The sequence below is a fragment of the Homo sapiens genome, chromosome 11 (genome assembly GCF_000001405.40).
Source record: "Homo sapiens chromosome 11, GRCh38.p14 Primary Assembly".
NCBI lineage: Eukaryota > Metazoa > Chordata > Mammalia > Primates > Hominidae > Homo > Homo sapiens.
The window spans coordinates 28159449-28185931 of NC_000011.10; the positions used below are offsets into that span (position 1 = coordinate 28159449).

At 34.0% G+C, this 26483-nt stretch overlaps 1 protein-coding gene across 9 annotated transcripts in view, besides 1 other annotated feature; it reads left to right on the top strand.

Annotated features, from left to right (window-relative positions):
• Positions 1-26483, top strand: part of METTL15 (methyltransferase 15, mitochondrial 12S rRNA N4-cytidine) — a 424088-nt gene that overhangs the window by 51061 nt on the left and 346544 nt on the right. The gene's annotated exons all lie outside the window — the stretch shown is intronic.
• Positions 10471-10671: a silencer, noted in NCBI's record as "peak1236 fragment used in MPRA reporter construct". NCBI's record gives its function as "represses an SCP1 promoter by STARR-seq MPRAs in K562 erythroleukemia cells {active_cell/tissue: K562}" and the evidence as "EXISTENCE:reporter gene assay evidence [ECO:0000049][PMID:32103011]".

The following is a 26483-nucleotide window of genomic DNA, read 5'->3' on the forward strand; positions in this document are numbered from 1 at the left end:
AAAAAAAAAAAACACAACCTGCTGAGGTGCTTGCTGAAGGGAAAGGGAATACAGAATGGGTAGTAGAAGTAGGTAGTCATCAATACCAGCTATGACCACGTGACCAGCTGCAGAAATGAAGACTGTAATTATCATGAGTCTTTCCCCCTTCTTTTGTTAAAAACATGTTTGTGCATGTATACACTTGTACTAAGAAAATATCGTCATTTTATTTCCTTTCTCCTTTATCATGTGACATAAGATTTATTGACTTCACATCAGAATTTAAGTATCGTTAACTTTATGTAATAGTATTTGGGTTAGGGATTGCTGCATTTCCAGTTGTACGAAGAATAGTTGTATTATGTTAGGCATAATTATGACCTTATTGTCTTTTTTTGAAGATTATGTGTGATTTCAGGAGATGTGTATGAGTTCAAGTTGACAAGGGGTGGACTTACTTTGGTTAATACTGAGTGTCAACTTGATTGGATTGAAGGATACAAAGTATTTATCCTAGTTATGTCTATGAGAGTATTGCCAAAGGAGATTAGCATTTGAGTCGGTGAGCTAGGGGAAGGCAGACCCACCCTTAATCTGGGTGGGCATAATCTCATCAGCTGCCAGCATGGCTAGAATAAAAGAGCAGGCAGAAAAATGTGAAGAGACTGGCCTAGCCTCCCAGCCTACATCTTTCTCCCATGCTGGATGCTTCCTGACCTTGGACTTCGGACTCCGTGTTCTTCAGTTTTGGCACTCGAACTGAGTTCCATGCAATATAATGGAATATATATATATATTCCATTAGTTATTGGATATTATTCCATTCGTTATTGGAATATATATATTCCATTATATATATATTCCGTTAGTTCTGTTCCTTTAGAGAACCCTGACTAATACAAGCCTATTGTTGGGAAGTGATCAAGGAGGAAATGATGACACAATCCTTCTCTTAAGGGTATTATACTATTTTCAGAATTATTTATGTAAAACAATAGGATTCTACAACTAAAGACCTGGCTTAAGTTTCAGGATTAAGATTTTGGTAGAGCTTAATTTCTTCAAGAATGATTTCCTTGATATTCTTTATAAATACAAGTTCATGGTTAAATATCGATCTGCTGAGTTTATTTTTTGTGTGACCCTGGCTTCTTAAAGGCAATCCTGATTACTCTTTAAAAACATTGTAATACATTGGAGTTGGTATACTTAAATTTGCCAAAGAACTTGTGCCTATGATATCAATATGTGAGTGAGATTTTGCAATAATAACATATTATAGTTATTTGAAAATCTTAACAATAATGGTAACAATTACCATTGCTCCATTTCTTGTATATAAATGTACTATATAACCATAATAATAAAATAAACAAACCAAGAGTAAAATTTTCATCCCTTTAATAAGCCTAGCAAGACAATATAACTTATTTAGGTAGCTCTTCATTTAGTACATTGATTCTCAATCATATTAGACCCAACATCCTTTTTTTATAATAAATATTTTGTAGGCACCCTCTTACTGGAAAATACAGTCAGAAATACACACTAAAATATCAATATAATATACTAGCTGTAATTGAAAGAAATAAAAGCAAAGTAAATCACATTAAGTATTAAGTATTACAGTATACAAATGAAAGATGACAGTGATATAGTCAGATGTTTGCACCTTCCTTTTTTTTTTTTTTTTTTTGTTTTTTGTTTTTTGAGACTGTGTCTTGCTGTCTTGCCCAGTCTGGAGTGCAGGGTTACAATCTCAGCTCACTGCCACTGCTGCCTCCCAGGTTCAGGTGATTCTCCTTACTCAGCCTCCCAAGTAGCTGGGATTACAGATGCAGGCCACCACCCCAGCTAATTTTTGTTTTTTAGTAGAGATTAGGTTTCATCATGTTGGCTAGGCTGGCTCCAACTCCTGGCCTCAAGTGATCCACCTGCCTTGGCCTGCTTGCACCTATGAATGTTTGGAATTAAGAAAAGTAGGAAGATCATAAATCATTTCTTACATAAAGGGTACTAATTTGAAAGAATTGATGTACAAATGGACACTAGAATAAAAAGTGATGTTAGAATAAGTAATAGCAGGTCACATTTATTAGTTTTTGATTTAAGCAAAAGGGAAATAATTTTAGCCAAAGAAGGAAAACTATGAGAAGACAAATTATATCCTGTCAAATTGAAGAAAATGAGTTGGGCCTTATTTTAATTGTAATATTATACTAATTGTCTAGGTTGTCGTAAAGGGTGATATAATGAAAATTGAATAGAAAATATGACTTGTATTTTGAAACTTTACATCTTGAAAAAAAGGAACATAGGATGAGTGATAATTTTGGGATGGTGAGTTCAGCCTGGGATCTTTTGAATATGTGCTGTTGGCAAGGCACTGTTGATGGAAATACTAAGCAGGTGGTTGAAAATGAAAATTACAATTTCAGATAAGGTTATGTCAACAAGATTTAGTTTTGAGGGTCACTTACAGAGCAGGAATTATTGAAGCCATTAGATTAGATGATACTGCAAATAGGATAATAGTAATCATAAAATTTAACATAAAAACTGCTAACATTTGTTGATGTTTATTATATACCGGGCACTGTTCCTCTTTTTGACTTATTTTTTCACATATTTCTCTCAAATCCTCTGTAAAATAAGTACCATTATTACCAACATATCCTTCTTGCAGATGAAACTGCTGACACACCAAGACGTTGCCATAGTTCAGACAACTTAGCTAGTAGTAGAGTTTGGATAGAGGTTCAGGCAGCCAGGCTCTAGAGCCTTCTTCCAAAGGAAGGATTTTTGAGGAGCTCATTAATTTTGGAGGCAACTGTAACAAGAAACAAACACCTGTTAGGTAAAAGAATAAATTAGAGTGTACATTGTCTTGGAAGGCTAAGAAACAGAGTATGGTAGGTAGTATCACAGGTTTCAGAGCAGTTTAGAAAAGGCCACTAGATTTGATGATTAGTAACTTTTTGGTAAATGGTTATTCAATAATGTTGCAAAGCCCAAGAAAATGATCTAAGCATGTGTTTTCATGAGACTTTCTAGAAATTTTCAATATGCTTTTTATTTGTCCATTAGCTATTCTGGACTTTAAGATACAAATGCTCCTTGACTGATGATGAGGTTACATCCTTATAAAATCATCATAAGTTGAAGATGTCATAAGTCAAAAATGTATTGAATATACTTAACCTACTGAACATCATTGCTTAACCTAGCCTACCTTATACGTGCTCTGGACTCTTCTATTAGCCTATAGTTGGGCAAAATCATCAAACAAAGCCTATTTTGTAGTAGACAAATAGGTAAAATAAATTATTTTGTAATAATATAATAAGTACTGATTATCATGTAATTTATTGAATGTGATGTGGGAGTGAAAAACAGAACGTTTGTCTGGGTATTCAAGGTATGGTTTTGACTGAATGCATATAACTTTCACACCATAGTAAAGTTAAAAAATTGTAAGTCAAACCATCATAAATTGGGGACTATCTGTATTCTATCAGATAGGTAGTATTTTGAGCTTAAGCAAACATGGTGTAGATTGTTTTAAGAAATTCTGTGTTATTCTCAAGGGAAATCTATCAGAAATAAGCAATCTAATTTTGGATTTGTTTGGGGCAATAGAATTTGTTGAAAATACCAAATGCAATGATTAAATTAGTTCTAGATGAAAAGGCAGATATTGCTGAAAAGTTTAATGTGAAAAGTGAAAAAAGTGTGATTTGTAATACGTAGTCAAGAAGAAGCAACTCATTCTTGGGTGTGATAATGAGTGGAGAAATATTCATGTGGGTGTTTTGATGATTAATTTGTTGATTTGTGTAAAATGCTTGAAGAAAAAAAAGTATGGCATAAATTCTAAATATTATTATTTTATTCACAGAATTCTGTCAGGCTTCATGGTCTTTTTCCCATGTGCTCATCTTTCTGCACCTGTTACCAGAACTTCATTCTACAGCAGCCCTGCTTTTGCTGTCATTTGAAATCGGTTCCAAATTTTTCCTCTTGTAACTCTCTCCCCATGCTGTTACTCGGTTATCTAATTTTGCATAGATCTTTCTAATAAGATGCTTCTTCTTACTGATCTCTCTCTCTCTCTCTCTCTCTGTGTGTGTGTGTGTGTTTGTCTGGAGAATACACAATCAAATGTATTTCCTCACCTTCAATGACTTAGGTAAAATAATGTTATCTATTTAATTTTCCCCCAGAATCAATTGCCCCAAAATGGCTTATACCCTGAGAACTTAATATACTTTTTTTTAAATATCTTTAACTAAAATTTAGTGAGCTATTTTTATTGTTGTTAATTTTTTAAGTCCTTTTTTTCTGTAGCCTGGAAGCTTTTTCTTTGATCATTAAAGTAGGAACCTCAATTTGAAAACTTGCCACAACTGAACATATGTCCCCTCTTGTATTAGAAAGAGTTATAATTTTAATACATTTTTCAAATTATGATTTATGTCTCTTTAGGAGAGATTCTGTTTGTTTTTTAAAGAGCCAAGCCAAAATTTTTTCTTACTTTATAATTAATGGGATTACATTTATGTTTTAACTTAAATCTGAATTTTAGAGGTAATTGTAATTCAGAAGAAAATGCAAACATCAAAATATCACATGTATAGCTCTTTAAATATGAACATTAATTATCTTTGGAGATTGATTATTGCCAAAATAAAATCACTATATCTCTTTGGGTACTTTATGTTAATATTTCACTTATTACATACACAAACACAACATATGCAGAAGCTCACACACGTAACGGCTTATTTGTGAACAAAATGATTACTTAAAAACACACATTAGGAAGTGATGTTATCATAATGTGATCATTCTCCTGGGATGTCATAAAACAAGAAATACTGAACCATTGCCTTCAGTTTCAGGGTTTATAAGTACCTTATGACCACTGTTTTAATTCACTATTGATACTGTAGAACGTATTTATTTAAAAGGAATATGTATGTTTCTGCTTGAAAGTGGGTGAAACTGACATTGCCATAATTTATAGGTTTTTCCCCCATATTTAGCCATACATGATTTTCTTTCACTTTGGAAAATTAGTTTATAATTATCTCAATTTTTTAAAAAAGTGTTATTTCTAATTGACCAATTATAATAATATATATTTATGGAGTACAGTGTAATGTTTTGCTGCATATGTACAATACGGAATGATTAAATCAAGCCAATTAACATGTCACTTATTTTTTATGGTAAGACATTTGAAATTAACTCTTTTAGCTATTCTGAAATATACATTATTATACTTTAAGTTCTAGGGTACATGTGTACAACGTGCAGGTTTGTTACATATAACTTAGTCATCCTGCTTTGCAGTAGTTCTCAGAGACTTATTCCTCCTGTCTTACTGAAACTTTGTACCCTTGGAGCAACATCTCCCATTTCTTCCCTCCTCCCCAGGCCTCTGGTAACCACTGTTCTACTCTCTAACTCTATGAGTTACACTTTTTTAGATTCTACATATAAGTGGAATAATGCAGTATCTGGCTAATTTCACTTAGCATAATATCCTCCCAGGTTCATCCCATGTTGTAACAAATGACAAAATTTTCTTCTTTTTAAAAGGCTGAATATTTTTCCATTATGTGTATGTACTACATTTTCTTTATGCATTTGTCCACTGGTAGATGTTTAGGTTGATTCCGTATCTTGGCTATTGTGGATAAAGCTGCAATGAACATGGGAGTGCAGATATCTCTTTGATATATTGATTTCAGTTATCTTGTATCATCTAGAATTTGATTGCTAGGCCATATAGTAGTTTATTTTTAGTTTTTTGAGGTATCCATATGGTTTTTCATAATGGTTGTATTAATTTATCTTCCCACCAACAAAGGGCAAGGATTATTATTTCCACATCCTCGAAAACACTTGTGTTATTTTTCATCTTCTTGTTAATAGCCATTCTACAGTTATAAGGTGATATCTCACTGTAATTTGCATTTCCCTGATGATTAATGATATAGAGCTTTTTTCATGAACCTGTTAGCCATTTATATGTTTTCTTTTGAGAAATATCTGTTCATGTTCTTTGACCATTTTTTAATTGGTTTACTTGTTTTCTTGCTATTTAGTTTTTTGAGTTTGTTAACTCCTTATTAGATGTATGGTTTGCAGATATTTTCTCTCATCCTGGGTTATTTCTTTACAACTAATTATTTCCTTTGCTGTGTAAAAACATTTTAGTTTGATACAATTCCATTTGTCTATTTTTGCTTTTGTTGCCTATGCTTCAGGGTTGTATAAAAAAAAAATTGCTTGGATCAATGTCGTGGAGCTTTTCCCATATGTTTTCTTCTAGTAGTTTTCGTATTTTCTGATAATGTATTTAAGTCTTCAGCTTGTGACTTGATTTTTGCATATAGTCTCAGATAAAGATCCACTTTTATTCTTCTGTATGAAGATATCCAGTTTTTCCAACACCATTTGTTGAAGAGACTGTCTTTTCCCCATTTTGTGGCCTTGGCACCTTTGTCTAAAGTGTGTGGGTTTATTTCTGGGCTTTCTATTCTTTTCCATTGGTTGATGTGTCTGTTTTTATTGCCAGTACCATACTGTTCTGATTATAATGGCTTTCAAATATATTTTGAAATCTGGGAATGTGATTCTTCCAACTTTGTTATTTTTGCTGAAGATTGCTTTGGCTTTTCAGGGTCTTTTGTGGTTACATATGAATTTAAGGATTGCATTTTTCATTTCTGGGAAAAAATGACACTGGAATTTTGATAGAGATTGTATTGTAAACTCAATGTTTTCTGAGTCTGGTGGTATACTTAACTAATCTGCATTTTCTCTTTTCCCTCCTTGTGCAAACACTAATCTTTATGCTGATTATCTAATTCTCTGCTATTAGTGCCTGGATATGATGTAGGATTAGTTTCTGTGTTTTCAAAGATAATGTGAATTTATGGTTTCATTTGGTTAGTCTGGAAAGCAATGTAGGTACACAAGAAATGTCATGGTAAAAGTAGAGTGAGGTACAGAATACAAATTTCCTAGCCTGTTTTATGTCTTTGTAGCTTTCTTCTTGGTTATCATCCTCATTTTTGATATTATGAGCCATAATGTGTAGTTTAAATTCTGAATTCTAGAGAACTTACGTTCTGGTTCAGGATTCATTTGTGATGTTTTATTAAATTACTTTTAAGTGGTTCTGGAATCTTAGGCTGGGACTTCACAATGAAAAAATGCTGAAACTGGCCAGGCATAGTGGCTCATGCCTGTAACCTCAGCACTTTGGGAGGCCAAGGTGGGCAGATCACCTGAGGTCAGGAGTTCAAGACCAGCCCGGCCAACATGGTGAAAACTGTCTCTACCAAAAAGGCAAAAATTAGCCAGGCATGGTAGTGAATGCCTGTAGTCCCAGCTACTCCGGAGCCTGTGGCAGGAGAATCACTTGAACCTGGGAGGTGGAAGCTGCATTGAGTCAAGATCGTGCCAGTGCACTCCAGCCTGTGTGACAGAGTGAGACTCCATCTCAAAAAAATAAATAAAAATACTGAAAATGAAAATGCATATTTCATCTATTCTTTCTATATCCGGCACTTCTGACCTAACCTTTTGATTGTATTTGTTATTCTTTTGTTCTTTTGTTTGTCCTTCTGAATTAGGAAGTTTGGTATTGATAGACACAGTCATTAAATAATGGAGCTTTCAGGAACTTTGAGTGATCTTTGCTTATTTAAACAAATGAATGTGGCTAATTATTACAGCGGGAGTTAGGATGGGTATATTTTGGGTGACTATGAGTTGGAAGTCTTGTCTGTAACCAAGAAACTGACTCTGGCTGTCTTATGCAGAAAAGGAATTTATTGAAGTAGGTTGGGCAGCTCTCAGAATCAGCAAGAACATGGGAGAACCAGATCTGAAAATGAGCAGAAATCAAGGAAAGCTCAGCAGTGGCAAACACAACCAGGGTCGTGCCACCAAATAGTCCACCTTGCGAATCTGTCACTGGTTCAGCTCTGCTGGATTCTCAATCTTGTTGCTGCTGAATTCTCAACACTGTTACCACCGTAGTACTTTTTTCTCTATGCAGATAATTTTTTAACTGTCCCTGAGTCTTAGCAGCCCTCCAGGATTCAGTATTCCAGTTGGGAACATCTAATTATGTAAGTATAAGTCATTTGATGCTAAGGAATGAGAGCCTAATGGATCATCTAGTCACTGGGGCTTACATAAGATGAGATGGAGTAGCATTTCCTATCACAGAATCCCACAGTACGAGATTCACCTGTATATACTAGATTCATATCTAGTATCAATATACTAGATACGAAAAAATATATAAATTTATACTGTAATGACAAAATCCTATAATCTTTCTCAGATGTTATTTCAACACCTTATCAACTTTATCATCTGCTTAGATTTTCTTTTATCCAACATAAGTTAACTTTTTTATTGAGGTTCTTTCCTTGGTTTAATATTTAGCCTTTGAAGTGGTGGACAAAAATTGCATTGATTTTATAAAACCTTTTTATATTCTAAAAGACAGGAATGCACCAGTCCATTTTTTTTAGAATTAAAATTAGAAGATCGAAATGAAGATTATTTAAAACCTGTAATTCATTATTTTTATATACATTTAGGGAAAGATTCCTATACTGACATCAGTTTTTTACTTTCTTTTTCTTTCTCTTCCTCTGGTTTTCTTCCCTCCCATCCTGTATTAAGCCCTCTTTGTCTTTGCCCATATTTATTGAACACTTCTATATTCAGGCATGGATGTTTTTCTTTTAGAAAAAATAAGACAATGTCACCCTCATCCTCATCCTTGAGGAAACTCACAGTCCAGTGTAGAATGATAGACAAGCATATGTAAACTAATTTCATTAGCAAGTAAGCAATTACTGCTGTAATTGAGAAATAAAAAAAAAAACCTATAAAGATCAGAAATCTTTCTTAAATAGATCATATTGAGTAGGGTAAGTAATGAACATAATCTTGCATTCATTCTTGTTCTTTTAGAGCAAACAATCAGTAGTTTAAATGATGCTTTTTTTTTTTAATTATACTTTAAGTTTTAGGGTACATGTGCACAACATGCAGGTTAGTGACATATGTATACATGTGCCACGTTGGTGTGCTGCACCCATTAACTCATCATTTAACATTAGATATATCTCCTAATGCTATCCCTCCCCCTCCCCCCATGCCACAACAAGCCCTGTGATGCTTTTTGTTAAGGAGAAATTTTAAAATACAGAAAAACACAAACTGTAGTACAAATATTACCCATATTCTCATGTACCTGAATTATATAATATAGAACATATTTGTGGAATGTTAGTGCATTCCACACCAAAAAATGGTATTTATCACACCATTTAAAAATTTACATGGAGAAGACATTGCAACAGATGAAACAGCCGGTGGGAAAATGCTGACACTGAAAACAGAGGGCAATTCAGGGAAGCCAGAGCGTAAGACAGAAGATGGAAGCAAGTGACTGGAGGCAGGTCAGGACCAGATTAGAATGACCTTTGGGCCACAGTAGGAATTTGGACTTTAACCTGTAGGCAACAGGGAATCACTAAAGGTTTTGAAATAGAAGAGAGACATGCCCATAAGATGCTAAGATGAAGTTTCACAAGGTAAAGTGGAGGTTAGACCAAAATGGAGAGAGACTGGTAGAGAAAACTGATTAAAATGTATGTTTAATAATGTAGGCAAATGGTGGTGAGAGTTTAAATAAAGCAATCATCATTACTATTGTGAGAGGGGAATAGATTTGACAGAGAAATATGAATTCTGTATTCAAAAAACTAGATAGGGTTATTAGTGGACAAACAAATTCAGGAGCCGTGGCTGTTATAAGTACTTTGACAACTTCACATAGTAAAGATTCTCCAGATATTTTTTATCTTGGTTGTTCAAATATTTGAAAGCTTTAGATTTAAAACTGATATTATGATTTGAAGATTTTTACTGCTTTCATATTTCTATAATATTTTTAAAATTATATTAGAAATTAAAAGCAAGTTGATATAGAAGAAAACAAGCATTAAAATGTTGATCTGGATCTATAGATCTGAAAGATGATGTACCAGAATTACTGGCTGTGGAATCACAGGAGGTGATTTCTGTTTTGTTTTTGAAATTCCTTAGTCATTTTTTTGAATGATGAACACTATTTTTTAACATTAAAACTTGTTTTTAACATAAGAAACACATAGTAAACACTCCCGTTTCTTGAGCTATTTACCAGAGTTGTGAAACCTTATTTAGATAACTACGTTAATCATAAATCTATGGCTATGTGAATAATATAAATAATTCAAAGTTAATATAAGCCTTTCTTTCACAAAACACTTGGTTTTCAAAACCTAATGCAAACTCCTACTAGATAAGAATAATTCTATTCTCTTACTTTTGCAGCAGAGTGTTGTTATTTTAAATAAAGTGATTTTGAAAATTTTTCCTAAAGCCTGAACACAAGCAAAATTTGTATTTGCTTATTTACTAATGATTTTCTTCTACTCTGATAACCCTGGTTGAGTGGGTGGTTGAGTAAGTATGCTCTGGTGTGGGGGGTAGGATGTGGTTCCTGTTGGGCTTCTGTACTGAGTGACTAGGCTGACAGCTGGTTGCTTTGTTTGGGAGATTCTAAATTTTAGTGACTGTAGGTCTTTTCTCTTCTGCTGATCAGATTTTCCAGAGAATTCTCTAATCTCTCACCAGAAGATAGCAATAGGTTGCTCAGAACCAAGTCACGGAGCTGTGATCCCAGAGCACAGGATGGGGACTTGGACTTAATTGCTTTCATTTCATTTTCTCTGACCTCTGCTGTGCCTGGTAACCTAGCACCTAGGTTTTCCTGGTTGGTTTCTCCAGATAATGAATTTCTTGTCTCTTAGGAAGCATGAGGAGAGGAAGGGGTTGTGGGTGAAGCTGTTAGCGGAAAGGGATCTCAATCCAGACCCCAAGAGAGGGTTCTTGGACCTTGTGTAAAAACAATTTGGGGTGAGTCCATAAAGTGAAAGCAAGTTTATTAAGAAAGTAAAGGAATAAAAGAATGGCTACTCCATAGGCAGAGCAACAGCTTGGGCTGCTTGATTGATAATACTTATAATTATTTCTTGAGTATACGCTAAACTAGGGGTGTATTATGCATGAGTTTTCTGGGAAAGAGGTGGGCAATTCCCAGAGCTGAGGGTTCATCTCCTTTTTAAACCATATAGGGTAACTTCCTGACATTGCCATGGCATTTGTAAACTGTCATGGCCCTAGTGAGAGTGTCTTTTAGCATTCAAATGCATTATAAATTGTGTATAATGAGCAGTGAGGAGGACCAGAGGTCATTTTCATCGCTATCTTGGTTTTGGTCGGTTTTGGCCAGCTTCTTTATTGCAACCTGTTTTATCAGCAATGTCTTTGTGACCTGTATCTTGTGCTGACCTCCTGTCTCATCCTGTGACTTACAATGCCTAACCTCCTGTGTTTCAGCCTTATTGTACCCAGCCCCTATTCAAGATGGAGTCGCTGTGGTTCGAACACCTCTGAGAAAACTAATCCTTATGCAGAATTCCAACCATTACTGCTTTTTCTATCCCATCTCTTCTGTCTTCTGGAGAAGCTGGCCACTACTTCAGCTCCCTTGGACTATTAGGTTTCCACTTATGTTCTGTTCCATCTTTGAGCACTTGTTGACATCTCTCATCTTTGTTCTTGGGAATTTATACCTTTTTATATTTCTTTAAGCTTAAGTGGAGTTTTGGGAGTGAATATTAATTTTAAAATGAGAGAAAGATAAATAATGCATGGTAGTTGAAGTGTCATGCGGAGAACACTAAACTTGAGATCAAGTGACCTCAGATCAGTCTTAACTCTTTGTGACTTGTAGTGCAGCACTAGGTAAGTGGCCTGGCTTTTTAAAGCCTTTGTTTCTTATTTCCATGATAGAGGCAATATTACCCATCATATTAGGTTGTATTGAGGCTCATAAGAGAGGATGTATATGAAAAGGTTTGCCAAATGTTCTTAATGTAATTTTTTAAAAACGTAACTGGAAAGTGAGATAAAACAATTTGTCTTAATTGTAGGTAATTCTGACTTTATTTTAATCTCAGTTTTCAGTAATGAGAATGAACAGTTTTCTAAACATTTTAGGTGACATTTCGTTTTAACACATTTTTATCATTAGCAAACTAGCATCATTTGAGCAATGCTAAATATAGTGATGTTATTGGGTTCCTAACAGAAAACCTCATATTCTTGAATGTTTACTTCTTTGATACTTTCATAATTTGAGTATTTATATATTTTTAAAAATTTTCAAATCTTTGTTTCCCCTGCCCGCCGCCTCTCTCTCTCTCTCTCTTTTTTTTTTCTTTTTTTAGGGACAGGGTATTCCTCTATCACCCAGACTGGAGTACAGTGACAAAACTGTAGCTCACCACAACCTCAATCTCCTGGGCTCAGGTGATCCTCCTGCTTCAGCCTCTTCAGTAGCTGGGACTACAGGCACATGCCACCATGCCCAGCTAAATGTCTTGAAAAATTTTTTTTTTGAAGAGATGGGGTTCTACTATGTTGCCTAGGCTGGCCTCAAACTTTTGGGCTCAAGCAGTTCTCCTGTCTCAGCCTTCCGAAGTGTTGGGATTACAGGTGTTAGCCACTTTACCTGGCCATGTTTTCTTAATTTTACTTCTACCATAATCAGACAAATTAATATTTCTGATTCAGGAATATGTGATTTTTTTTTCTTTCAAAACAAGACAAAATATGGCTTCACAAATTTTAGCACAATTTTAGCATAAAGTCCATTTAAATGAACTGGAGCTGATCTATAAAGACAGGATAAATAGATCAGTTCCCTTTTTCCTATTTTCTGGTAGCTTGTATTATTCTAGGGTTGATTAGTTTACTGAATGAAATTTCATTAATAGAGTCAATATGTTTTTATTTAAAATACGGCAACTTAGCTTCAAAAGCATCACAGCAGCTATAGCTCAGGTTACTAATTTGATAATTAAAGCTCAGTATTACTAACTTTTTACTTTTTTATTGCTTTAGAGATTGCTAATTTTCTTTACTTCATTCCTGTATTCTACCTTGTTATTGTTCCTAATAGCTTCCATTTATTATACCGTTTTAGCACTCTACTAACTGCCTTACATTCTGTTTTACATTGTGTCCTCACAGTCACCCAATACATATTAAATCCTCATTTTTGAGATAAAGAGACTGATGCAAAGAAAGACTGAATCAGTTTATTCATTGTCTCAGACATTGCGTTAGGTACTAGTAGCCTGTGAGGGAGCTGAGAACAGTTTTTGTATTCTGATTTTCTAATATCAGTCCTATGTGTATTTCTCAAAAATGAATAGACAGAAAATAGCATACAGAGCTATGAGCAAACTATTCAAGGAAAGAAGAGCAAAGTATGGAGAGCTTAGAAGAATATCTCTCCTTTTGTTGGCTACTTTTTTTTGTTTTCCTTTCTTCTTTCACATTTCACTTTGGTATTTCAGGAGACTAGAAATTAATGAGTGATTGGGACAACTGATTTCAATATGAAGAATCTTAAAGACTTAACGAAACTCTTATAAAGAGGTTTGATAGTAACTGATGAAAAGTCTCTAGCATATTTTAACTTTTTTGATATTTATTTTTTAAAAAAAGAGACAAAATTTTTAATATAGATTTTGTTTTTTTGAACAGTTCAAGAATTAAAAAAAACTTGTAAAGATACTACAGAGTTCCCTAAGCTATAGTCTGAATATTTGTGTTCCCCACAAATTCATATGTTGCAATTCTTACCTCCAGTGTGATGGTATTAAGAGGTGGGACCTTTGGGAGGTGATTAGGGCATGAGGGTGAAGCAATCATGAAGGGGAAGAGTACCCTCTAAGAATTCCTAGAGAGCTTATTTGTCTCTTATACCAAGTGAAGATGCAGCAAGAAGGCACCATCTGTGAACCGGGAAAAAATCCTTCACCAGACATCAAATCTGCTGGAGCCTTGATCTTAGATTTCACAGCCTCCAGAACTGCAAGAAATAAATTTCTGTTGCTTATAAGCCACCTGGTTTATGGTAGTTTGTTATAGCAACCCAAGAGTACTAAGACATGATATAACCTATACTCATTTTCTGCTGTTATTTAACATCTTACATTAGTATGGTGTATTTGTTATAATTATTGAACTAATACTGATACACAATCATTAACTAAAGTCTGTTCTTTACTCATATTTCCTTAGCTTTTACCTAATGTTCTTTTCCTGTTCCAGGATCACATCCAGGATATCACACTACATTTAGTTGTCATGTCCCTTTAGCTTCCTCTTGGCTATGACAGTTTCTCAGACTTTGTTTTTGAAGACCTTCGTGGTTTTGAGATGTATACAATCAGGTATTTTGTAGAATGCCTCTCTATTGAGTTAGCTTGATGTTTTTCTCATGGTTAACTTAAGTTATGGGTTTCGGGGAGGAAGACTACAGAGGTAAAGTGCCATTTTCATTATGTCATGTCAAGGGTATGTACTATCAATATGATTTTTCATTGTTGATGTTGACCTCCATTACCTGGCTGTGTTTACAGATTTCTCCATTGTAAAGTTACTCATTTTTTCCTTTTGCCATGCTGTACTCTTTGGGAGGAAGTCACTAAGCACAGTGCATACTTAAGGAGTAGGGAGTTACACTGCCTTCATTGGGGGTGGAATATCTACATAATTAATTTGGAATTTTTCTACACAGGCAATTCGTCTCTTCTCCATTTATTTGTTTGTCCAATCTTTTATTTATATCAGTATGGACTCATGGATATTTATTTATACTTAAGAACGATTGTTTTTGTTTTACTGCTTCTTGATTTTGAATCATAGTTAGTGAGATTTTCCCACTACATTTTATTATAACCAAGGTTTTCCCACTGCATTTTATTATAACCAAGGTTTATCTAATACCGCATTGTTTTATTTTTACCTTTAAATACCAACCCTATTTGGAATTTACTGTAATATGCAGCATTATTTCAAATTTATTATAATATCTACAGCATAAAGTAGGGACTCAAATATTAATTCCAGACATATTTTTTTAAGATCTCTATTTTGGGTCAGGCACAGTGACTCACGTCTGTAATCTCAGCACTTTGGGAGGCTGAGGCGGGCATATCACGAGGTCAGGAGATTGAGACCATCCTGGCGAACACGGTGAAACCCCGTCTCTACTAAAAATACAAAAAAAATTGCTGGGCGTGGTGGCAGGCGCCTGTAGTCCCAGCTACTCAGGAGGCTGAGGCGGGAGAATGGTATGAAGCCGGGGGGCGGAGCTTGCAGTGAGAAGAGATTGCGCCACTGCACTCCAGCCTGGGTGACAGAGCGAGATTCTGTCTCAAAAAAAAAAAAAAAACATAAAAAAGCAAAAAAAGCAAATCTCTATTTTGAACTGTAAAACCATACATCTTTCTATGTATTGAAGATTTTCTTTGGAATTCTTTTTTTTTAAATTTACTTTATTTTTATTTTATTATTATTTTTTATTATACTTTAAGTTTTAGGGTACATGTGCACAACGTGCAGGTTAGTTACATATGTATACATGTGCCATGTTGGTGTGCTGCACCCAGTAACTCATCATTTAACATTAGGTAAATCTCCAAATGCTATCCCTCCCCCCTACCCCCACCCCACAACAGGCCCCGATGTGTGATGTTCCCCTTCCTGTGTCCATGTATTCTCATTGTTCAGTTCCCACTTATGAGTGAGAACATGCGGTGTTTGGTTTTTTGTCCTTGCGATAGTTTGCTGAGAATGATGGTTTCCAGCTTCATCCATGTCCCTACAAAGGACATGAACTCATCTTTTTTTATGGCTGCATAGTATTCCATGGTGTATATGTGCCACATTTTCTTAATCCAGTCTATCATTGTTGGACATTTGGGTTGGTTCCAAGTCTTTGCTATTGTGAATAGTGCTGTAATAAACATACGTATGCATGTGTCTTTATAGCAGCATGATTTATAATCCTTAGGGTATATACCCAGTAATGGGATTGCTGGGTCAAATGGTATTTCTAGTTCTAGATCCCTGAGGAATCGCCACACTGACTTCCACAATGGTTGAACTAGTTTACATGAATTCTTACAGGCATCAGTTAAAAATTGCCCAAATGACTTATTAACTTTCTTAAACCTGCATCTCCTCATATCTCAGTAAATGGTATGAGCACATAATTTGCCAGAGTCAAAAATCTGAGTATCACCTTCAAACTTCTTACTCTTCCCCTATTAAATCACCAATCCCTGTTGAACTTATATCCAGAATTGTCTAAAATATATTTAGCTCTTTTTTGCTGCCATTGCCCTAATCTTGGCCACTACTATCATTTTCTTTGATCACTGTAATTCTGCTCTGCTCTTCATGCACAAGACAAATTCGTGCCCTCAAGAATCTCATATATTGGTGTAAGAGATAGAAAATAAATGTGCAAATATATATATATATATGTATAGGCATATAATTTTTTAGATGATGAGATGATACTATAATCAAAGTTGTAAATTTTGCTGTAGGGAGGTCAATTTAATATTACTAAGGAGTTTAGAAAGAGGAAAGAAGACTGAACGTAAGATCAGTTAATGAATAAAAAGTAATGAAGGCTGGAATAATGGCAGTGGTGGAAGGAAATCATAGATTTTTAAAAATAAATTAAAAATTTGTATTTTTGTATTTCAAAAGAAATATATTTAGAAAATTTAAAAAATATAGATAGACTTGAGGAAGACAAAAAAATTTCTCCTGTAATCCTGCTGTTAAACTGTTAATCTCTTGGCTTGTATCTTTCCAAGGTGTTGCTTGTGTTTATACAGTTTTTCTTTTCTTACAGAATTACAATCATACTATTTGTATTTTGTCATATTTAGCAAAAGTTTTAAATGTCTTTTTCTCTAATGCAGTCATTAAAAGCCTGACTCTGGAACCACAGTGTCTGAGTCAGAATCCTTGCCTTACGATTTTTACTAGCTATGCCCTTGGGCATGTTACTCTACTCCTCTGTGTACCAGTTTCCTCATCTATAAAATTAGTACAGGAGTATAATAAGGGTTAAATCAGTTAATATTAGGAAATGTTTAGAATAGCATGTGGTACCTAATAAGTATTTCTTATCATTACCATTCACTCCTTTACACTATTAATTTTTATTGATTGTATAGTATTGCATCATATGGTATGCAGTCTCAGGAGACAGTATTATGTGTGGTCTTTGTGGCCAAGTGGACTTGGCTAACCTGTCAGTTATTATCTATCTGACCTTTAGCAGTTGACCTTAGCTCTGTGAGATTCAGTTGCCTTACATGTAAAATGGAATTATGATATTACTGTGTATGGTTTTTGTAAAAAAGGAAACATCCATATGAAATAACAACTTAGAAAACTGCCTGGCAAGAAATACACACTTGATAAATACTACCTGTTATTCTTGTCAAAGTGGAATAGCTGGATAATGGACATCAAAAGTCTAAACTTTTCAATAATATTTTCAAAATTGAGAAGGCATAAGTTGATAAACTTTTTGCCTTTCTTTTATAAATATAATAATTCTTAGATGGATACACTAGAAGGACAGTTCTGTATGAATAAAAGCTGAATTCCCATTGTAGTAATTTCTTGGTCTTCCACATTGTTAATTTAAGATATTTGGTAAGTCCTTTTATAAATAAACACTGACAGTGTGTGAAAGAATATATATATTTGAAGTTTGAAAATACATAAACTTTGTGTTAAAATAGTAAAATGCAATATATGTTTTGTAAAGAAGGAATTAGCATCTGACATTTTATTATGAATACAGATTTCCATCAGTGAATAAGGCTTCCAATTGAAAAGATTTAGTAGAGTTAGATTTTTAAAAAAAGTACTTGGCCTGAAATCAAGAAAAATGCTGGTTTCTTCAAAGATGATTGAAACAAATGTCTTCAAATTTGAAACATTTGCTGGCAAAGCAGATGTTTCATTCGAGACAAGTGTTTTAGGTTGTGTGAAGACTCCAAGTAAAATGTTTTCTATGCATGTAAAAAGCTGTATTTAATATGAAATATGGCAATGTAGGCCCAACATTTAAGTTGTATGGATTAGGTAAGAAAAAGTGATTTTTTGGGAAAATCAGAATATAGAACTCTGGGGATTTGAAAGTTATATTACTTACATGATGAAACGAATTAGGAAAGTATTTGATGTTGAATGTTTTCTACATTTAATTTATTAATTTTCATGATTCTTTTGGCGTTGGTTTCCTCATCTGATATAATGAAAGCGTTGGAGTCTATTGGAAATTAGATCTGCTAGAGTTTTTTTGGGTCCTTAGCAGGAGCATTTAATGTGAAATCCTGAAGAGAGGTCAATAGTTCTAGTTACTTCAGATAACTGAGTGGATGGATAGATAGATGGATTAAAAACAAAAGTTTAATAACCCTTCATGAATTTATTGTAAGGCTATGGGACAAAATTGAAGACATAAGCATAATCGAAGACAGTTACTCTTATTATATTATTACATTGCTGATTTGGTTGGGACTTAAACACTTTTGATCTCAGGAAAAGAAAGAATATTTAACCCAAGTTACCTTCTTTTTACTTTCCATAGAGGTTAGAAGTGATTTGATGAGTGGCTGCCCAATTTGCATGAGTTATCATTTGCCTGCCCAGACATTCTACTGAGAAGTTTACAGGCAGCGTGGTTGTCTATTCAGGAATATGCCATTATGAATACCCATACACATACACACATTCACTCCTCATAAACCAGCATTCTTTTAGGTGGCAATATATCATTAACATTTTTATATTAGTAAACATAAGTAAACAAAACCTGTTTACTGGAGAATACTCTGCCATAAAAATGTATCAGTTATTTTAACAATTCGCTGCTATTAGAAATTTACTTTGTCTCCATTTTGGGTATTATCTGTAGTGTTGCAATCAAAATTATTAACTCATGTAATTATTTCACTGGGATTAATTATTTGAGGTGCACCAAAGGTAACGTACATTTTATTGTGTTTGATATATGTTGCTAAATTGCCCTCCAGAAAATATCTACCAGTTGACATTCTATTAGCAGTATTATCATTACTCTTTCCCTACAAGGCCAGATATTAATAGTCTGGTTTTTTTTGGTCAAGAACACTATTTTTACATTTTAATGTGCTTTCCCTTAGTGTATGTGAAGTGTAACATTTAATCATTTGTCTGTATGTGTTACTTTTTAATAGTCCCATTTTTCAAAATTTAAGTGTTAATCTTTTTATTGTTTTGAATAAAAACATTATTTACATTAATACTTTCAAATCTTATTCATTGCGAATATTTTACCCAGTTTAAAAAGATTTATGTGTAAATATTCCTTATAGGTTTCGTATATGTGTATGTTTCAGAAATTCTCATTTTTATGAACCAATTTGGTGATTTTTTTGACATCATCAAGAAAACAAGAAGTACAAATTGTTTTCAGACTAGGGTAGACTTTCTGTACTCCAGAACTATAATGATTGATACTCACTTGTATTTTCTTCTTGCACTTTGTTTTTATACTATTTGTAATCTGTTATTTTTACCCAATTTATGATAAAAGAAAACATTTCCCCTCTCTGATTTAAATAGAGAGAGAAAATGCACACACCTGTGTGCACACATGGGTTTGTGTGTGTATTTTGAATCTAATCTGGAAATGTTTTAATTAGAGTTTTTAGTTCAGTTGCGTTTAATATCGTCACTGATCAATGTGGGTTGAAGTCTATAATCTTATGTTTTTCCCCCTATTTGTATGGCTTAAATACATATTATATTTACCCTCTGTTAATTTTTCATTATGCGTTATTTTTTCTGTAACAGTTTTTTATTAAGTGAAGTCTAGAATGCATGTATAAAAATACAGACGTTTTAAGTGTACCATTCTATGATTTTTTAAATGAATACCCTCTTGTAATTACTACTCAAATGAAGATATGTAACATCTCTCACTCAGAAAGCCTGTCTCAAACATAACTACTTTTCTTACTCTGTCACTTTCTTTTCCTTGTTTTTGAATTTCATTCACATGAAATCATAAACTAATTTATGGCTGGCTTTCTGCATTCAACATGTTTGTGATAGTCATCTATATTGTTGATGGGATTAGTAGTTCATTCTTTTTTAAAATTGCAGTAATCTATTATATGGCTATACAGCAATTTATTTGTCCATTCTCCTGTTGATGGGCTTGTGGATATTTTCTAGTTTTGTTTATTATGAATAAAGCTCATATGAACATCCTCATATGTATTTTTTGGGTGGTCATAGGCACTCGTTTTCCAGGAGCATATAGCTAATAGTAGAATTATTGATTCACTTTAGGAAATAGAGCCAAGCAGTGTTATGAAGTGGTTGAATCTCTTTACATTTGTATCAGCAGCGTATGAGAGTTCCAGTTGTTTCACATATGCAATGCGACTTAGCATTGACAATATTTTTTAATGTTATCCTTTCTGGTGTATGGTATGTCATTGGTATTAATTTGTATTTACTTGATGAATGATGATATTAAGTACCCCTGAGAAACTCAAATGGTCTAAAGTTGGGATCTTTATTATCTCCTCACCCATACCTTCCACTTTTCAGTTAACAAAGCTATAATCCTACTCAGTTGTTAAACCAGGAATCTATATTGTCTTGTCTGAGTACTATGGTAGACCATAATGTTCTGTAAGAGTACAAATTATGTTTTGTTGTTGAGTGAATGAATGAGCAAATGAACCCTTGACTCCTATGCATCCTTTTCAAATTGATGTGTTTTTATAATTTTATATAACAGACATTTTAAAATGTTTTCTCTCTGATATCACTGCTATCACCTTAATCTTTGAACAATCCTGGATTCAGCAGAAGCGAATTAAAAATAATCTGGCCAATTTTGTTGTGAAACTAGAGCTGTCTAAAATATAGTCTGTTTTTATTTATTACTTTTGAAAAAGTAATCTAAAACTGTAATTAGTTGTCTGCTTTTCCTTCCCTTTTGACTTGTTTGGTCTAGTCAATGAGAACTATTTTTAAATAAGGACTAGAACTAAGAAGGGCCTGAAACCTCTGTCGTTTAAGGATGCTAGTGTTTATCAGAAACATATTTAACAAACTATGGCAACCTTTTCTTTGTACTTCTCTTCAACCTTTCTTTGTACTACTTCCCTCTTAAGAATTAGTATGCAATTTCTTAGTAGTCTTGTTTTCTGAGATGACAAAAAGTGAGGTAGGAACAAGGTGATTTTGATAAGAAATACAAATGAAAAGAATAGTATATTTGAAATACCAATTTCCCCAGTCCTGTGGTACTGGTATTTTAATTTTTTTAGGTTTTCGACTGGTAGACTCTAGGACTTAAATAAGAAAAATGAACTCTGACAACTGCCATTAAGTGTTTGTTATCAGTTTATTTTCAGTTATTGTTGGTAAAGAGAGTAAAAACATGAATAAATGAAATGTACATGCACGTTAAATCTTTCAGATTTTTTGCTAGGTTTCGTTTTCTACTTCTCAACTCTGACAGTAGCCACTGGGAGGTAATAATATTGACTGATGCCAATTTGTTTTCTCTCCTTTCCTCTTTGTCCTGTGGAGCTAGAAAATAATGAAAAGTCAAGATAAATAATAAAGAAAAATATGTATGCCCAGAGGAATGAGTAGTCGATTATAAAACATATGGTCTGTATACATATGTACACAGGGATATCAATGAGTCACAATAAATTTTAAGTAATTTTTTGCTAATACTAAAGATAACACGTTTATTTATTTATTTAATTTTTAATTTTTTTTTTTTTTGTATTTTAAGTTCTGGGGTATACATGCAGAACGTGCAGGTTTGTTACATAGGTATATACGTGCCATGGTGGTTTGCCATACTCATCAACCCGTCATCTACAATAGGTATTTCTCCTAATGCTATCCCTCCCCTAGTACCTCACCCCCTGACAGAACCCTGTGTGTGATGTTCCCCTCCCTGTGTCCATGTGTTCTCATTGTTCAACTCCCACTTATGAGTGAGAACATGTGGTGTTTGGTTTTCTGTTCCTGTGTTAGTTTGCTGAGAATGATGGTTTCCAGCTTCATCCATGTCTCTGCAAAGGACATAAACTCATCATTTTTTAAGGCTGCATAGTATTCCATGGTGTATATGTACCACATTTTCTTTATCCAGTCTATCATTGATGGACATTTGGGTGGGTTCCAGCCTTTGCTAATGTGAATAGTGCTGCAATAAACATACGTGTGTGCATGTGTCTTTATAGTAGAATGATTTATAATTCTTTGGTATATACCCAGTAATGGGATTACTGGGTCAAATGATATTTCTAGTTCTAGATCCTTGAGGAATCATCATACTGTCTTCCACAATGGTTGAACTCATTTACACTCCCACCAGCAGTGTAAAAGTATTCCTATTTCTCCACATCCTCTCCAGCATCTGTTGTTTCCTGACTTTTTACTGATTGCCATTCTAACTGGTGTGAGATGATATCTTGTTGTGGTTTTGATTTGCATTACTCTAATGACCAGTGTTGATGAGCATGTTTTCGTATGTTTGTTGGCTGCATAAATGTCTTCTCTTGAGAAGTGTCTGTTTATATCCTTTGCCCACTTTTTGATGGGGTTGTTTGTTTTTTTCTTGTAAATTTGTTGAAGTTCTTTGTAGATTCTGGATATTAGTCATTTGTCAGATGGATAGATTGTAAAAATTTTCTCCCATTCTGTAGGCTGCCTGTTCACTCTGATAGTTTCTTTTGCTGTGCAGAAGCTCTTTATTATAATTTGACCCCATTTGCCAATTTTGGCTTTTGTTGCCATTGCTTTTGGTATTTTAGTCATGAAGTCTTTGCCCTTGCCTATGTCCTGAATGGTATTGCCCAGGTTTTCTTCTAAGATTTTTATGGTTTTAGGTCTTATGTTTAAATCTTTAATCCATCTTGAGTTGATTTTTGTATAAGGTGTAAGGAAGGGGTCCAGTTTCAGTTTTCTGCCTAGGGCTAGCCTGTTTTCCCTACACCATATATTAAATAGGGAATCTTTTCTCCATTTCTTGTTTTTGTCAGGTTTGTCAAAGATCAGATGGTTGTAGATGTGTGGTGTTATTTCTGAGGGCTCTGTTCTGTTTCATTGGTCTATATATCTGTTTTGGTAACAGTTCCATGCTGTTTTGGTTACTGTAGCCTTGTGGTATAGTTTGAAGTCAGGTGGGGTGATGCCTCCAGCTTTGTTCTTTTTGCTTAGGATTGTCTTGGCTATGCGGGGTCTTATTTAGTTCCATATGACGTTTAAACTAGTTTTTTCCAATTCCGTGAAGAAAGTCAGTGGTAGCTTGATGGGGATAGCATTGAATCTATAAATTACTTTGGGGAGTATGGCCATTTTTACGATATTGATTCTTCCTATTCATGAGCATGGAATGTTTTTCTATTTGTTTGTGTCCTCTCTTGTTTCCTTGAGCAGTGGTTTGTATTTCTCCTTGGAAGAGGTGCTTCACTTCCCTTCTAAGTTGTATTCCTAGGTATTTTATTCTCTTAGTAGCAATTGTGAATGGGAGTTCACTCAATATTTGGCTCTCTGTTTGTCTGTTATTGGTGTATAGAAGTGCTTGTGATTTTTGCACATTGATTTTGTATCCTGAGACTTTGCTGAAGTTGCTTATCAGTTTAAGGAGATTTTGGGCTGAGATGATGGGATTTTCTAAATATACGCTCATGTCATCTGCAAACAGAGACAACATGACTTCCTCTCTTTCTGTTTGAATACCCTTTGTTTCTTTCTCCTGCCTGATTACCCTGGCCAGAACTTCCAATACTGTGTTGAATAGGAGTGGTGACAGAGGGCATCCTTGTCTTGTGCTGGTTTTCAAAGGGAATGCTTACAGTTTTTGCCCATTCCATATGATACTGGCTGTGGGTTTGTTGTAAATAGCTTGTATTATTTTGAGGTACGTCCCTTAGATACCTAGTTTATTGAGAGTTTTTAGCATGAAAGGCTGTTGAATTTTGTTGAAGGCCTTTTCTGCATCTATTGAGATAATCGTTTGGTTTTTGTCATTGGTTCTGTTTATGTGATGGATTATGTTTATTATTTTACATATGTTGAACTAGTCTTGCTTCCCAGGGATGAAGCCGACTTGATCGTGGTGGATAAGCTTTTCGATGTGCTGCTGGACTTGGTTTGCCATTTTTTTATTGAGGATTTTCGCATTGAAGTTCATCAGGGATATTGGCCTGAAATTTTCTTTTTTTGTTGTGTCTCTGCCAGGTTTTGGTATCAGGATGATGCTGGCCTCATAAAATGAGTTAGGGAGGATTCCCTCTTTTTCTTTTGTTTGGAATAGTTTCAGAAGGAATGGTACCAGCTTCTCTTTGTACCTCTGGTAGAATTCAGCTGTGAATTCGTCTGGTTCTGGACTTTTTTGGTTGGTAGGCTGTTAATTACTGCCTCAATTTCAGAACTTGTTATTGGTCTATTCAGGGATTCAACTTCTTCGTGTTTTACTCTTGGGAGGGTGTGTGTGTCCAGGAATTTATCCATTTCTTCCAGATTTTCTAGTTTATTTGTGTAGGGGTATTTATGGTATTCTCTGATGGTAGTTTGTATTTCTGTGGAATCAGTGGTGATATCCCTCATATTATTTTTTATTGTGTCTATTTGATTCTTCTCTCTTTTCTTCTTTACTCGTCTTGCCTAGCGGTCTATCTGTTTTGTTGATCTTTTCGAAAAACCAGCTTCTGGATTCGTTGATTTTTTTGAAGGGTTTTTTGTGTCTCTATCTCCTTCAGTTCTGCTCTGATCTTAGTTATTTCTTGTTTTCTGCTAGCTTTTGAAACTGCTTGCTATTGCTTCTCTAGTTCTTTTAATTGTGATGTTAGAGTGTCAATTTTAGATCATTCCTGCTTTCTCTTGTGGGCATTTAATGCTATAAATTTCCCTCTACACACTGTTTTAAATGTGTCCCAGAGATTCTGGTACGTTGTGTTTTCGTTCTCATTGGTTTCAAAGAACATCTTTATTTCTGCCTTCATTTCATTATTTACCCAGTAGTCATTCATGAGTGGGTTGTTCAGTTTCCATGTAGTTGTGCAGTTTTGAGTGAGTTTCTTATTTCTGAAGGATAACACGTTTAAATACTTAGTACAGTACTTAGCTTACAATTATCAACAAGCATTATGTATTACTATATATTGAAACATTTTAAAATTTCAAAAATTATGATTGATTAAAGTTAATGCTATGTTAATATATCACTTAATAACTTGCAGATATGTCCATATCTGTTCTTATGCGAAAGGAAAATGTTAAATAATAAGGACTAGTTAAAAATGAAAAATAAAGGATATTTTATATTCTCTACAGAGTAGGCCTCTAGGAGTATATGTGTGTTGCATGAAAGCTATTTGCTATTGCATGTATCCAAGGAAAATACCAGATCATTGAGAATGGTCTGATAGACAGTTCCTGAGTAAAGGAAATATATTGAAAGTTTATTTTTAATTATGAGTCCCACCTAATCCACATTTTACATAATGTGTTGAATGTTAACATATATAAGAAAATGGATATTGCATTTTTAAAAATTATAAGGTTACTGTTTTATATAGAGTCTTTAACTGTTTTCTAATTTTGAAGTCAATCTACAGTGGTCCCTTAAATTATATATAAACTCTGTAGAACCAGGGATCATATCTTTTCTATATTTGTTTAATATAATGTATGGTAAATAGCTGTTCACTGATTGTTTTCTGGATTAAATTGAATCCCATTTTAAATAACGAAACACTAGAATTAAAAAGAAAGGCAGCTAGAGTACAGATTTTTTTTTAAACAATATTTAATTTTTCATTAGACTGTTTTGGGTTCAAATCCCAGCCCTGCTTCCTTAAAAGCTTGGGCAAATTGCTTGGTCTTGAGCCTTGGTTTCTGTGCCTGTGCTTATAAGTTATTGTTAATATTTGGATAGATAATAAAAGTTATCTTTTAGAATAGACTAAATATATACAAATCATCTTCAAAAGTTACTAGTATATTATAACTGTCAACCAATTAGTAGCTGTTGCCATCAATTTTATTAGTGATAGTTCAGGATCAACTTCAGTTTGCGGTGAAACAAAAGAAATATGTTGATTGTTCTTTAATCCACTTAGAAGTAAAATAATGGATTGATTATTTCCCTTTGATGCTTTTAGGTTTTAAATTGTTTTATCTTGTATTCTAAAGTCCCAGGCCAAAGCAAAGTGAATTATTCTAATTCTGTATGTTATTTATTTATTCACTTAATAAATATTTTTAGAGCTTTAATCATGTTTCAGGTCTTGTTCGCAGCCTTGAAGATATAACAGTTAACATGAAAATATCTATGTTTTCATGGAGTTTCTGATGTATTTGGGGAGATATAATTAATATATAAATAAATATATAAATATACACACGTATCTAATATATATACATAT